This window comes from Homo sapiens, chromosome 13 (genome assembly GCF_000001405.40).
Source record: "Homo sapiens chromosome 13, GRCh38.p14 Primary Assembly".
NCBI lineage: Eukaryota > Metazoa > Chordata > Mammalia > Primates > Hominidae > Homo > Homo sapiens.
In genome coordinates this window covers 50720851-50736743 of record NC_000013.11, presented here as the reverse complement: position 1 = coordinate 50736743, position 15893 = coordinate 50720851, and the positions used below count along the sequence as shown (strand labels likewise).

The 15893-nt window shown below is 38.7% G+C and overlaps 1 protein-coding gene across 1 annotated transcript in view, besides 1 other annotated feature; it reads left to right on the top strand.

The window, feature by feature from the left end:
* DLEU7 (deleted in lymphocytic leukemia 7) overlaps positions 1-15893 on the top strand; it is a 132914-nt gene that overhangs the window by 107196 nt on the left and 9825 nt on the right. The gene's annotated exons all lie outside the window — the stretch shown is intronic.
* Positions 5058-5257: an enhancer, noted in NCBI's record as "active region_7763". NCBI's record gives its function as "activates an Ori minimal core promoter by ATAC-STARR-seq in GM12878 lymphoblastoid cells {active_cell/tissue: GM12878}" and the evidence as "EXISTENCE:reporter gene assay evidence [ECO:0000049][PMID:35858748]".

Genomic DNA, 15893 nt, shown 5'->3' with positions numbered 1-15893 from the left:
GAGTATTTTCCAAATATCGGCTCTGCTAAATTTCTTTCCTTTTAAAATTATTTCCTTTCTTTTATTTACTTTGAAATTATTGTGTTTTTCTTTTCTTCCTTCTTGAAACAGAATCTTGGCTACCAAGTTGAGATCATTCCTCTTTGGTAATCTAAACATTAAAAGCTATAACATTTTCTCTAGGGATTGCTTTTGCTACATTTCACGAATTTAAATACATCTTTCTTTTCTTTAACTTTTATTTTAGGTTCTGCGTATATGTGCAGATTTGTTATATAGGTAAACTCATGTCATGGGGGTTTGTTTTACAAATTATCTTGTCACTCAGGTACTAAGCCTGGTACCCGATAGTTATTTATTCTGCTCCTCTCCCTCCTCCCACCCTCCACCCTCAAGTAGGCCCCAGTGTCTGCTGTTCCCCTTTACGTGTCCATGTGTTCTCATTATTTAGCTGCCACTTATAAGTGAGAACACATGGTATTTGGTTTTCTGTTCCTGTGTTACTTTGCTAAGGTTGATGACCTCCATGTTCCTGAAAAGGACATTCTTTCTTTCTTTTACTATGGCTGCATAGTATTCAATATTATGATGTAAATGTACCACATTTTCTTTATCCAGTCTACCATGGATGGGTATTTAGATTGATTCTTCGTCTTTGCTATTGTTAATAGTATTGCAATTAACGTACACACGCATGTATTTTCATGATAGAACTATTTATATTCCTTTGGGTATACATACAGTGATGAGATTCCTGGGTTGAATGGCAGTCCTGTTTTTAGCTATTCGAGGAATAGCCACACTGCTTTCCACAATGGTTAAACTAATTTACACTCCCACCAACAGTGTAGAAGCATTCCTTTTTCTCTGCAACCTTGCCAGCATCTGTTATTTTTTGACGTTTTAGTAATAATCATGCCGACTGATGTGAGGCGGTATTCATTGTAGTTTTGATTTTCGTTTCTCTAACGATTGGTGATATTGAGCTTTTTTCATATGCTTGTTGACAGCATGGATGTCTTATTTTGAAAAGTGTTTGTTCATGTCCTTTGCCCACTTTTTAATGAGGTTGTTTTTTTCTTGTAAATGTGTTTAAGTTCCTTATAGATACTGGATATTAGATTTTGTTAGATGCATAGTTTATAATATTTTCATTTTTTCATATATTTTCTATTTTTTCTTGTAATTTCTTTTCTGAGACATAATTATAATATTTAGAAATTTGCTATTTAATTTCCAAATATTTGGGGGTTTTCTATCTTGTTGATTTCTAATTTAATTCCATAGTATACAAAGAGTGAATTTGGTACAATTTTATATTGTTTAATTTATTGAGACTTGCTTTATGGCCAAGTATATAGTCTCCCTTGGTGAACATGTACTCTTGAAAGGAATGTTTATTGTGCTGTTGCTTGATGAAGTACTCTATAAATATCAACTAGGGTAAGATGGTTGATAGTGTTACTCATATGTTTTATGTCTTTACTGAATTCTTGTCTAACTGCTCTACCATTGTTTGAGAGAAGGATGTTAAATTCTTTGAGTATGATTGTGGTATTGTCTATTTCTTCCTTTAATTCTTTCAATATTTGCTCCAGGTATTTTGAAACTCTGTTATTATACATACACATTTATAACTAAAAATCTTCCTGGAGAATTGGGTATTTTATCATTATGAAATGTCCCTTTTTACTTTGGCATTATTCTTTGTCCTGAGGTCTACTTCGCCTGATGTTAATATAGTCATGACAGCTCTCTTAAGATTTACTGTTTGCATGGTATGTATCCTTCTATTCATTTACTGTTAATCTACCTGTCTCTTTAAAGTTTATCTCTTATAGATAGGGGTAGGTATGCCTTATCTTTATTTTGTTTGAAGTTTATTACTCTTCCTTAAGTTGTAAAACTATATATTTCTCCAAATTTTAGACATTGTTGCATATTATTTCTTCAAATACTTTTCTACCCTATTATTTTCTTCTAGGATTCCAGTAGTATGCATGGCAGACTTTTAGATATTAACCACCAGTCCCTGGGACTTCATTGTTGTTCTTCCTTTACTTCGTCCTCATCTTCTTCCTATTTTTATCTTTTTTCTCTCTGTTCTTCAGATTGGGTATTTTTAATCTATCTTTAAGGTCATAGGTTTTTCTAAATGTTAATATTCCCTTTTTTCTCTAAATGATCACAATTTGAGTGTGCTTTGGCTCCCAAAGGAAATGAAATAACTGATCTTTATTTTTGGGGAGATGGGTGTATTAGTTGGAGATGGGATTAGCTACAGAATGGAAATAACAAAAAACTAGATCATTAAGTTTTAAAAATCTTATTTTGAGGGCCAATATGAGTAAAATTAGGTTACTCAGAGGACGATAAGGTGGAAAGCAGCCTTATTGAAGATTTTGAACATTTTCTGGAACTTCAAAGGTTAGTAGTACCAGTTCTCTATCAGGTCTAATTTCACATTAAAACATACGTTTTTTCTTTAGTTCACTGCTTTTATTCTAAGTGGTCAAGATTTGAATACACTTTTGGTTCTCAAAAGATATAGAGTGACTTGCCTTGATTTGTTTCTGGCAGGAGTAGAAGAGCAGGACTCCTAATTTGCGGAGCCTAGTGCAAAAGAAAAATGTGGAACTCCTTGTTCAAAAATTATTCAGAACTTCCAGACAGTGACAGACAGCATTACATCAAGTTTGATGTCCTCTGAGCACAGGACCCTGTGTGACTGTACAAACTGCACATCAATGAAGCCAGAGAGTGCGGTAATACAGCTTGGAGCTTTCAGCATTGGAATCAATATATCAGAGTCGGAATCCCAGACTTGCTACTTGCTACTTAGGTGATGTTAAGGAGGTTGTATTTTCTCTACGGCCTTTAGTGTCCTTATCTGCAAAATGAGTCTATCCTAGGTTTGTTGTGAGGCTTTAATGATAGTTATATAAAATGCCTACCTAGTAAATGTGTGATACTTAACAGTCAAAGCGGAAGTTACTATTATTATTTTGTTAAGTGGGCTTTATTAGAAGGAAAAACTGTGGAAGGAGAATTGTTAGATCAGAAAGAGAATGTCTCTAGTGTGATCAACTAAAGATTGAGAGATATGAGACAGGAAATGTGTGTGTGTGGGTGTGGGCAGGTAGGGGACAGAGTTGAGGAGTTGGGTGCCCCCCTTAACGAGTGGGGAGAAGCTGGTGGGGAGATAGATCCCTTGCATCAGTCTCTGGGTGGTGTTATGAGTCCAGAAGAACTTGGATGTATTCTAAACATACAGGTAAGATCCGTGAATCCACCAGGCATTCCTCTAAGCAGAATTTTTGAAAAGCTGCTGAATACTGAAAGAGTATGGATAGTAATTCTAAACTTCCTAGTAGGTGCAGGACATTCAATTCATCTAGGGAGAAATATGAGGACATTTGGTTTGTGTGCAATAATCTAAAACATTGGTTCTCAGGCTGGTTAAAAATGAGAATCACCTGAGGAGCTTTCAAATCCATTGATGCTCTGGCTCCACCAGACATAAATTCTGATGTATTTGCTCTGGGTTGAGGCTTGAGCATCATCACTGTTTTTAAAACGCTTTCTCAGATGGTTCTAATATGCAGACAAGTGCTGAGAACCACTTATCTAAAACAATGGCATGCTGTTGAGATCTTCTATTTCCCTCTGACAAAAAGAAAAGGTAGTCAACTGTGTGTGTGTGAGTGCGCATACATGCGTGTGCGTTTGATAACCAGCAGATTAAGCAGCAGTAAGGCACACACAAGTAGAAACCATCTGATGCCCTCAGGACATCACAGTGAGTGATGTTTTTTCTGGTCCACAGCCATATCTGCTCAGGGAGCCTCCTCTGCCACACTCTGGAAGCACTCTTGAGAAAGAGGCCCTTACATAAGTTACTATGCATACTGTGTTTCAACAGTGTTTGGCAGATGACAAAGGCTTGGGAAGTGTTAGTTGTTGTTACTACTGCTATTTTGTTAGGTCATCTAATAGAATTCATTTTGAATTTTAAAAAAAGGACTCAAAGAAATTTAACATAGTGTGATCATTTTTCCTTTGGGAGTTTAACTCATTCTTTCAAGTCTTGCATACCATTGAACATAAGCACATAAGCTTTTTTTTTTTTTTTTTTTTGAGATGGAGTCTCATACTGTTGCCTGGGCTGGAGTGCAGTGGCTCGATCTCGGCTCACTGCAACCTCCACCTCCTGGATTCAAGTGATTCTCCTGCCTCGACCTGAGTAGCTGGCATTACAGGTGCCTGCCACCATGCCTACCTAATTTTTTGTATTTTTATTAGACATGGGGTTTCACCATGTTGGCCAGGCTGGTCTCGAGCTCCTGACCTCATGATTAGCCCACCTCAGCCTCCCAAAGTGCTGGGATTACAGGCGTGAGCCACCATGCCCAGCTCGAACATGAGCTTTTTTTAAAAAGCAATACAGTAAGTGAGACGTGATGGAGATCACTAAAACATGGATGATGAATTATAAAAAGAAAACCTGTCCTAGCTTGTAGAAATGGATACTTGTGGTCTGGGATAAAATTTTCTGTGATAGTATTACATCTGTATTTAAAAATTGCTGTGTTATAGAAACGTGGGTGGCAGAGAAGATAGTTTTGGAAAACTGTTTTAAAAAATCAGAAAGGGTTTCCAGTGATGGCAAAGTTGCTGACAGCCAAGATGCACACGACACATGTGAACAGATTGTTTCATGAAATATCAGAGTAGAATAAAGCAATATTGCAAAGTATGAGTGTATATAATTTTCTTTTCAGTTTTATGCAATTAATATACATATGTGTAGATTAATAAATGGAATATTATAAGTAGATTTTTAACGATTTCACTTAGAGGCTTAAATATTTATATGTTCAAATTGGCAAAAAATGTTTTTAAAATTTTCTGTTTCAAAAAATAGGCATTGGCTTTGTAATTGGGAGGGACTTGTATTCAGGTGTGTAGATAATTAAGGAAAATGTAAGGAAAGGGACTAATTAGGAAGAAAGACAAAGACAAACAGCCTCCCTTTCCTTTGTTTATACTTCTTAGCAATTATCAGTGCAACATTTTAGAATAAGAAAATACTTCTAAGTCATTGAATTGTAGACTTGCCTGGGCTTGTTCTTGGGCCAGTGAGGTTTTTAGAAGAAAGCTCACTTCCTGCAGTAGCCATGGCAACTTCAACAATACAGGCCCTACCCTGCCAGCTCCAATCTGTCCAACAGATTCCCAGGGAGGAGAAATATGTTATCACAATAAGAGATGATTTCCAACTTTTAACATTTTTAAGTAGGATATTTATTGTTATTCAATTCATAAATCCACTCATCTTCAATCTCAGCTACCTACCACCTCAAAAACACATATACATGTTGCCAGTGGAGGGCCTTGACTACAAGTTGTCCAGGTTTTTGGCATTTTGAACCAAGAATTGGACAAAATGCACAAGCAAAGCAATGAAAGAATGAAGCAATGAAAGCACAGATTTATTGAAATGAAAGTACACTCCACTCAAGAGCACTGGTTACAGAATTTTCTGGGGTTTAAATACCCACTACAGGTTTCCCATTGGTTACTTGGTTACACTCTCCATAAATGAAGACTTGGCCGACGACCACTCTGGTCACAGGAGGTGACCAATCAGAGGCTGAAGTGAAGTTACAAAGTTAGACATGAAGACTTGGGCCACGACCTGTCTGATTGGTTGCAGGAGGGGACCAATCAGGGGTACTTTCCATTTTTCATCGGCTATGCAGTGTAAAAGGAGTAGCCTCTGATCCTTTTGTTATGTGGGTGTGGAGAGGTGGGGTTTTCCTTTTGATTAAGTTCTAGGAAGTCAGTGAATCAGCCATGGATTCCCTGTCTCCAGACTCTATTTATTCTCCTACCTCACACCCACACACAAACACACACACCTTCATTTGCTCCATCTTTTTTTATCTAATTCTCTCAAAGATAACCAACAGAATTTTGGTAATCTTGGGATGCAGAATTTTGGGATGCAGCCATTGAGTGAATTGCCCACAGATTTGAAGTTGTAAAATGCCTTTTCTGCCTGCCTGAAACACAACCACAGAAATTCCAGTTGCATGCCACACTCTGATTTAAAAACCAGGAGATTCCCTGGAAAGTATTTTTACTTCTATGTTCAAGGAAATATTCACCAGGATGGAGACCCCTCAGCAGAATCTAGAGGAAGCACTGCTCTCTGAGTTCACTTATCTTATATTTTTTCTACTATCTGCCCAGACAAACTCTTGAATTTGAAAGAAAAATTCTTAAACTTACTCAAAATATTTAACCAAATCAATCTGCTGGGCTTTTCTAATTGCAAGTGATAAGCAATGAGGGAAATATATTGCTCTCATTGTTTTAAATACTCTTTCTCTTACCTTTCCTCTGCTCTACCACAACCATTCTGCTTACATGGTTGACCCTTGAACAACATGGGTTTGAGTTGCTCAGATCTGCTTACTTGCAGATTTTTTTCAGTAAAAGTTACACTGAGTGTGCTGCCTCCCCTTCCACCTCTTCCAGCTCTGCCACCCCGAGACAGCAAGACCAACCCCTCCTCTGCCTCCTCCTCCGCAGCCTATTCAACATGAAGACAACAAGCATAAAGACCTTTATGATGATCCACTTCCACTTAATGAATAGTAAATATATTTTCGCTTATGATTTTCTTAATAACATTCTTTTTTTTTCTAGCTTACTCTATTGTAAGAATATGGTATATAACACATATAACATACTAAATATGTGTTAATTGAACTGTTTATGTTATCTGGAAGCCTTCTGCTCAAAAATAGACGATAAGTTAAGTTTCAGGGAGTCCAAAGTTATAGAACACACACAACCCCATTAAAAAGTGGGCACAGGACATGAACAGACACTTTTCAAAAGAAGATGTATGCGTGGCCAACAAGCATATGAAAAAATGCTCAACATCACTAATCATCAAAGAAATGCAAATCAAAACCACAATGAGATACCACCTCACAACAGTCAGAATGGTTATTATTAAAAAGTCAAAAAATAATAGATGCTGGCAAGGCTGCAGAGAAAAGAGAACACTTATACTCTGCTTACACACTGTATTATAAATTAGTTCAGCCACTGTGGAAAGCAGTTTGGTAATTTCTCAAAAAACTTAAAACAGAAGTACCATTTGATCCAGCAATCCCATTATTAGGTAAATACCTAAAGGAATAGAAATATTTCTACCATAAAGACACATGCACACAAATGATCATTGTGGCACTGTTCACAATAGCAAAGACATGGGGTCACCCTAGGTGCCCATCAATAGTAGACTGAATAAAAAAAATGTGGTACATATATATCATGGAATACTATGCAGCCATGAAAAAGAATAAGATATTGTCATTTGCAGCAACATGCATGGAGCTGGAGGTCACTATCCTAAGTGAACTGACAAAGGAACAGAAAACCAAATACTGCATGTTCTTTCTTATAAGTGGGAGCTAAGCACTTGAGTACACATAGACATAAAGGAGGGAATAACAAACACTTTAGCCTAATTGAGGGTGGAGGGTGGGAGGAGGGTGAGGATCTGAAAACTACCTATGGAGTACTATGCTTATTTTAATACATGGGTGATTAAATAATTTGTACACCAAACCCGTGAAACCAATGTACCTACGTGACAAACCTGCACATGTCTCTCTGAAACAAAAACAACAGACAAATAAATAAATAAATATATCTGATAGAATTCTGAAAAAAAAGTTATACAAAGATTTTCAACTGTGCAGGTGTGGGTGTCATTGCCCCAAACCTCACCCCTGTAAAGGGTCAACTGTATATTAAGGAGGGGAGACAGTGGTAAAGGAATACCCTTCAGTAGTGAGTATGATGTGCATATGAACAGGTGACATGATGACATAATTTTTATATTCCAGGCTTAGCATTTGAGAGAAATGTGTGCTATTTGTAAAGAAAAAAAAAGTCAATGGACACATGAACATCCTTAAAATGACTAAGTTATCACAAATGAATCTGAGAAAACAAACACTCCTGTTCTGTAATCTTTGGGGCAGGCAAAAGAAGAGCTGAGAAAGGCTGATGAAGTCAACTCTTGGTGGGTTCCTATGATGCACTTTCCCAAAGAGCTTGACCCTTCCCCATGGAGATTTAGTCCTATTAACCTCGCTGAAAAAAAAATAGGGCTTTCCTGGGAAAACACTTTTGGGGAGTGTAGCATACTTTATGTCCTTCTTGGAGATCTATAATGTACGTTCACTTATTAAAGCTTTTGAAAAGTTCTGCAGTAAAAACCTATTAAACTTTGTTTAACCTTGTGTTTAGATTTTAAATTCTAGAACTCATTTGAGCATAGAGATTCCTTTTGCACATAACTCCTATTAACATCACATAGGACCACTATTTCTTAGACTATATATATCTAGGGAACTGCAATGTTAGTCTATTATATTTCTTATTTGTCTTTAAAACAACTAGTTTCTTATCTGTAATTGGAAAAAGCTGCAGACACCCATTCCCACCCCCGACCAAAGCCCAACCTCATGTGATTACTTTACAACCTAAGGACTAGCTTCTTCCTGTCTCCTGAGAGGTGTTCCTGTGGCCAGGGCTGGAGCCAGAGGCCAAGAAGGTGACCCTGCCAGGTATGAACATCTGCAGCCTGAGGTGCACTTCAAAGTCTTGCTCTCAAAAAGTCAGGACTGCACCTTTCTCACCTGCAAGCTGTTAGAAATGCAAACTCTCAGGCACCACCCCAGATCTACTAAGAAAGAAACTTTATTTTCACCAGATTCCCAAGGTGACTTACCTGCAGTGATCCAGCACCCACAGGGGAGAAGCAGAGAGAAGGTGTCTCATTCTGGAAGAGGCTGGGGAGCCAGCTTGCCTGGCGTTGACACCGAGTGTTCATGCAGAATAACCCAAAGTCACAGCAGTGTGCAGCTCTGCACATCTTGAGGGTGTAATGGGGATCAGTGTAGGGTCCGAGAAAAGCCAGGAGGATAACTTGGAATCTCTTCAGGGAAGTGGAAGAGGACTGGCCCAGGGAACTGAGACCAACAGACACAGCAACCCTGGAGGTATTCCCAACGTGATTCCTTGGGAATCACAGGGAGCCCAGGCCTTAGGGGGATGTAGCTTCTCATGAGAGTCAGGTGAGAATGATGGGAGCAGCCCTTCACAGGTGTGGCACCTCAAACCAGCTGGTGTCAATGACCCCCACCTCCCAGATGAACAACTCGGTGGCAAAGAAAATACTGTGATTGCATGCAAATATGAAATCAGGCCTCATCCTGGATTACCTTCACATTCACTGAACAAATTAGTATTTGGTTGGAGCTTTTGTTAATTCTTCAGTCCTCACCCACTAAATGCATGCACACATGCTTACTAAAAACAGAGAAAAAAAAATACCTAGACCTCATACTTGTGAATAGCACAAGACGATTTTTCAATCTCTGCCTCTTCATACATTCGGAAACCTCCTTGCTCACACACACTCACACACACACACACACACGTATGCAAGAGCGTACAGAACTTCTTATTCTTTTTTTGGGTAACACTTAGCACATATTAAGGACAAAAAAGTCATAGACCTCGTAGAATTATAGTTTTTAGCATAGCAATGATTTTGTAGCTCAGAGGAGGTGGCTCTTCATTCCATTGCCTGCTATGAGTTTTGTCTCACATTGCTGGGCACCTCTAGCAGATATATGGTATGTGCAGTGCTTAAAACATTGCCCAGAAAAACATATAAAATTGAGGATATAAATAATTTCACCTTCCCCGTGCCCCCACTTTCCTCTTGCCTCTTGCTGATAAGAAAAAGATTAACTGGATTAATTGGCATGTGTCATCCAAGAATCTCAGTAAGTCTAGAAACATGAAGTCTCCAGGCTCAGTTATGAGTGGAGCTGGTTCCATCTTCATTTCCTGAGGCCCAGGAAGGTAGGGGGCATGGTCAAGGTCACAGCCCTAATTAGAAACTGCCACCTAGACTCATAGGTGCTCAGCCCACCCCCGAGGTGCACCCATGCCTGGAGAAATAAAAGGCATAGCCAGTGGGCTCTTAGAACGATGACACACATGAAAAGACCTCCCATGCGATCCACAAATTTCACTGCAGATGGGAAAACCTTTCAGAAAGTGTCTCAACCTATTTTTTTCAAACATTGTGAATTTTGGCAAAAACTTTTGTGATTTGAAAATGCAACGTTTACCCTTAATTTAAACCCTTGTGTATTTTCGAGGGAAATTTAAGTTAAAAAACATGTATTTCTGGTTAAATGGAAGCCTGTGTTCCGTGAAAGGAGGAGGCGGGAAAGTCAGGTGGCTGTTGCAGGCTGGTTCCCAGGGGGATTTGGGTAGAAGCTGTTGAAGTTGGAGAAGTAAACTGTCAGCTGAGGAGGGGTGGGTGGGGGAGCTAGAAAAACAGAAAAAGGAATGGGCATGTTGCCCTGGGGATGGTCAAAGGAGGCAAATCAACAAAGTGCTGAGGTGGAGAGGCCTGGCTGGGGATCTCATGAGTCTAATAGCACCCAGAGGTTGGCAAGGCCATGTTACCTAAGTGTCCTAAGGCCACAGGGCAGAAGTAGGGAAAGCAGTCATGTAGTTTGTTGACTATAATTTTCACCGTTACTTCTCCAAGACAGTGATAGGTCCCTTGAAGGCAGGAATCACACTGCATTGATCTTTGTATCCTTGAGGCCTGACATAATGCTTAGCTGCATACAAATGATGCTGCAAAAATAGATGATAAGTAAATGAGAAAAATAAGGTATTTCCAATCCAAACCACCAAAAGCTAATTAAGTCTAGACCAAGACCTTCATGATTAGAGTTATTTGTTAATAGTCATAGAATACCTCTTAAACTGGTAAAATAATTGTTTGACTTAGTGAAATAAAAAAAAAATCCACTGGTTGATGTAGTACAGAAAAATAAAATAAAATAGAAAAACTTCATCAAACTCTGTTCAGTTTAACAGTCAGATTAACCCAGCAGCTGAACCATGGCTGTAGGTGGACACGGCGTCTCCTTCCCCTCCCATGCCCCCGCTCCTGACCACTGCTTGATTTTCCTGCCTTCTCTTTGATTTTTAAAATCTACTAGCTCTTGATGAAAACATGAAATTATGCTACACGGGCTCACTTTTCATTCTGAATCTCATAGATAGCTAATTCCTTTGTAATCTCATAGATAGCTAATTCCACAAGCCCTAGGGGTGGAGCAGCTGCTGTCTGGGCTCAGACCTGAGGCAGACCTGGGCAGGAGCTCCATGCACACAGAGCCTGTCTTGACTAAAGGAGGGAAAAACCAAACCTCAGATCTTAAGCAGTGCACAGCCTCTCATCCTCCTACAATCTGGCAAAGTGGTGCACAAGTGCACATCACTAAGGATCAAAGCAGGTTAGAGCAGAAAGAGATTTCAGGGATTTCCTAATTTTGTCAATGAGCCCATTGACAAAATCACAGCCCATGACCACGTGGCTGGCTGGAGAAGATTGGGACCTGGATTCCCTTCTCTTTGGGTCAGTGGGCTTTCTTTTGCAGACACTTCATACTTGTGGCCAGTGGAGGCAAGGTAGGTCACTGCTGGCACCAGGGAGAGACTCAAGGACATTGTGAACGGGGGAGCTGGGCATTGTGTCAACTAACTTTGGCTTACATACATACAGTCAGCCCGGACCATGGGCTATTGATATTAGCGTTGTTTGGAAAGTATTTCCAGGTCTTCTGGAACACCTGCGGTAGGAAGGCCTTCTGCCCTTTGTTGTGGGAACATATAAATAGTTTGAGGCAATGTAGGTTACAAGCAGAAATGATGTCTGTCACTTTTAGACCGAAACATTTAATCGCTGGCATGGGACCCTCAGAGTCACTCTCTTTTTCCTTTTAGTGTGGCAACCAGTGACATTTGAAATGGTGGCTGCTCCTGCAGTTTGGGCTCCTGAGTGATGCTGATGAGCAGAGCTCACCCTGATGCGATGGGCCGATAGCCTGAGTGAGTGAGGCATGCGCTATAGGATTTGGAGGGCATTTGTTACTGCAGCAACACCCAACATATCCTGGTTGACAGAATCTCCTCTATCATCTCCAAGGCAATTGACTCTTTCTCTGTGCCTCTCTTCCCTTTCACTATCCCAACTTTCCCTCTAATTCACTTTCACCTTGTTTGGGGAGTCCTTTAATTTTTGTTTTTGTTGCTTTTTTTTTGCCTGCCAGATTTCATCCGTAGGAAAAGAGGAAGAGGAGCTGTGATATTGTGTGCTTCCATCAACCCTCCCACAGCATCTTTTTAATAATATCTGAGACTCACAAAAATATCTCACTCTGATGTTGCCTGGGAGCCCCAGGGATAAAAGATGAAGAAGTATGGTGTGCATTCACAAAAGAAAAAAGTAATTTTATAATATAAGTTAATAAATAGAACACTGGTAGAAAAGAGATTCAGCCTGTGATCATTATTTTGAAAGACAGTTAAGAGGAGAGTGATAGCAACTATCATCACGAACAAGGGGATTTCATTAGTTTTAGGTTAGTTTGCTTAAAGGACTGCATATTCTAAAGCTTTTTCTTCAATTAGTGATGGGCTATGTGCCATTCCAACTTTTATTATTAAATGTATTGACCATCTGTACCTCATAATTTAAAACATCTTTTTCTTTTAAAAATTTAATATTTTATAAACACAATGGTAGTACATGCTCAGTGAATAAAACTTGGAAAACACAGAGAAACAAAAAGAAAAAAGTTCTAGAATTTGCTCTCCTTCTATGACCCAGAAATAACCATTCAGCATTTTGTTCATTATCTTGGAGACTTTCAACTATACAAGTATACATGAATATAAATTATATATATATATGTGTGTGTGTACATATATATATTTTTTTTATTATTTTTTTCTGCTATAGACTGAACCATACTGCACCCCAGAAAGATTCATAGGTGGAAGCCCTAAGCTCCAATGTGATGGAATTTGGAGATGGGGCCTTTGGGAGATAAATAGGCTTAGACGAGGTTTTGAGGGTGGGGCTTTCATGATGTGATTAGTGCCCTTATAAAAAAAGACACCAGAGAGCTTTTTCTCCCTCTACTTCCCCTCACATGAGGACACAGCAAGAAGGTGACTGTCAACAAACCAAAGACGCTCTCACCAGAACCCAACCACAGTCACACCCTGGTCTCAGACTTCCAACCTCCAGAACCCTGAAAAACAAATTTCTGTTGTTTAAGCCACCCCGCCTATGGTATTTAGTTATGGAAGCCTGAGATGACCAATACGTGTGTGTGTGTGTGTGTGTGTGTGTGTGTACAATTATTGTTTAAAACTACCGAAGAATATTATGCGATGGTAGCTAATAGATATAGAGGTCCATAATGTTTGTTGTTTCTTTAAACTAGGGGATGTTATTGTATATTGGGAAGAATATACATTAATTATCAAATAAAATTGATGGCTAATTATAAAATACAATTGAAAGTCTAGTTACCAAATACAATTCTTCCTGCTAGGTTTCACTTCTTCAGTAAGAATTATTAGAAATAGGTAATTTCTTTGACTTAATATTTCCACTTGAAGAAATTTAATCTGTAAAACAGATATATGCAATAAAATTTATATTAAAATGTTTATGAAACCTTTATTGCACTGAAAATTAGAAACATACTAATGTTCAACATTAAGGGATTGCTTAAGAAAATCTGATACATTTATCAATACAATAGAATATTCCATAGCCTCTAAAGTTGTTTTGCAAATGAGTACAAGTAAAACTGGAGAGATCTGAATAAGATCAATGGAATGCTGTGATGTCAATATCCTGGTTGCCAGGTTGTACTATAGTTTTGCAAACTGCTACTATTGGGAGAAATTAGATAAAGGGTACACAGAATCTCTGTAGTATTTCCTACAACTACATGCAAATCTATAATCATCTCAAAATAAGTTTAATTTTTCAAATAATGAAAAAAATTGTGGGAATGGTTTATGAAGGACAATAGTACTTGAGGATGAATTCTTGTTCTGAAACGCTAAAGTAATAGATTAATGTTATGGTAGAGAATTCTGTGAAGGTAGCCAAGCATTTTGCTGAGTGTGCTTTAAATAGATAACATTGTATTTTAGAAAAGGAATTCCACTGCCTAACCCACTCTGCAATAGCGTATTCCTTGTTTTGTGAATTTTTTTAATTTAATGTAAATAAGCAGAAAAATAATACATAGAAAATGTAATTTGTTCATTTGTTTCCCAGAAGTGTAGTGGCAAGAATCTCCAAAAAATATATTATGGAAGAATATTTATTGACTTGAGGATTTGTTAACAAAGTCAAAATACAGATTAGAAAAGGGTATAGTGTAATAGAGAAGAAGTTTATGGCTATCTTAGTGTTCCCACTGGTTCCTCCTCCTGGAAAAGCAGGTGAACCCAGCCATGCTCTCATAATGATACAGAAACACAGGAGCCCAGGCCTACCTCTGGGCTTAAAACCAGGACATCATCCCTTCCACCTTATTCTTTACACCAAAGCATGTCACATGGCAAGCTGAGAGTCAAGGATGGGGCAGGTCACTCCAGCCATGTTGGGAGGACACTGCAAAGTTACGTGGCAAAGGGCTTCTTTATATAGATGAGTGAAGAAACGGGGCCATTCTCACAATCCACACAACCCCATGCTCTTCTCTACTTGCTCTCACCTTTCTCTGTGAAGGAAATGTAAATGGGCCTTTGCAGAAAAGCTCTTCAAAAGGGTTGTCTGGCTTCTGGCATATATTTGAAGAATGAATGAAAAAAAAATGCTGAATATTATATTTTCAGCCTTTGCAGCCTGATATAAATCTCTTTAAAATTTGCATTTCTTTTCTAGTGATTTTGAAGGTATTGGTCATACTTATTGGATGTTACGTTGTTCCTGTTGTGAAATGCACTGCCTTCCACACTAGCTAGTACTTCCCATGCCTAGACTTTCTAGTGCTGCCTTGCAAGGGTTGGCTTGCTTCTCACTGGCATTTCCTTCACAGTTACTTGATGCTTGAGTTTTCAGTTCTGTTGATCTTTTTACCTGTTCTCCATCTTTCAAAAATTTTATTTCCTTTGTCCATTGTCTCTTCTTCTGTTTATAATTTTGTATTATTTTTATTCATTTTTTTGCCATTTTGGTAGTAACATAAATAATATAACAAAAAATAACAAACATTTAATCTGTCATATATATTATGAATATTATTTCCCAGTTTATCACTTGCATTTTTTTTTAATGCTAGATGTATTAGTCAGGGTTCTCTAGAGGGACAGAATAAGATAGATGTATATGTGAAGGGGAGTTTATTAAGGAGAATTGACTCACACGATCACAAGGTGAAATCCCATGATAGGCTGTCTGCAAGCTGAGGAGGAAGGAAACCAGTCCCAGTCCCAAAACCCCAAAAGTAGGGAAGCTGACAGTGTATCCTTCAGTCTGTGGCCGAAGGCCCGAGAGCCCCTGGCAAACCACTGGTCTAAGTGCGAGAGTCCAAAAGCTGAAGAACTTGGAGTCTGATGTTCGAGGGCAGGAAGCATCCAGGAGGGGAGAAAAGATGAAAGCCGTAAGACTCAGCAAGTCGGCTTCTCCCACCTTCTTCTGCCTGCTTTAGTCTGGCCGTACTGGCAGCTGATTAGATTGTGCCCACTCACATTGCAGCTGGGTCAGCCTCTCCCAGTCCACTGACTCAGATGTTAATCTCCTTTGGCAACACCCTTAGACACACCCAGGAACAATACTTTGCATCCTTCAATCCAATCAAGTTGACATTCAATATTAACCATCACACTGGGCTTTAATATATAAATATTCTAAATTCATATATAGCCAAATCTACATTTTTTTTCCTTTAGGGCTC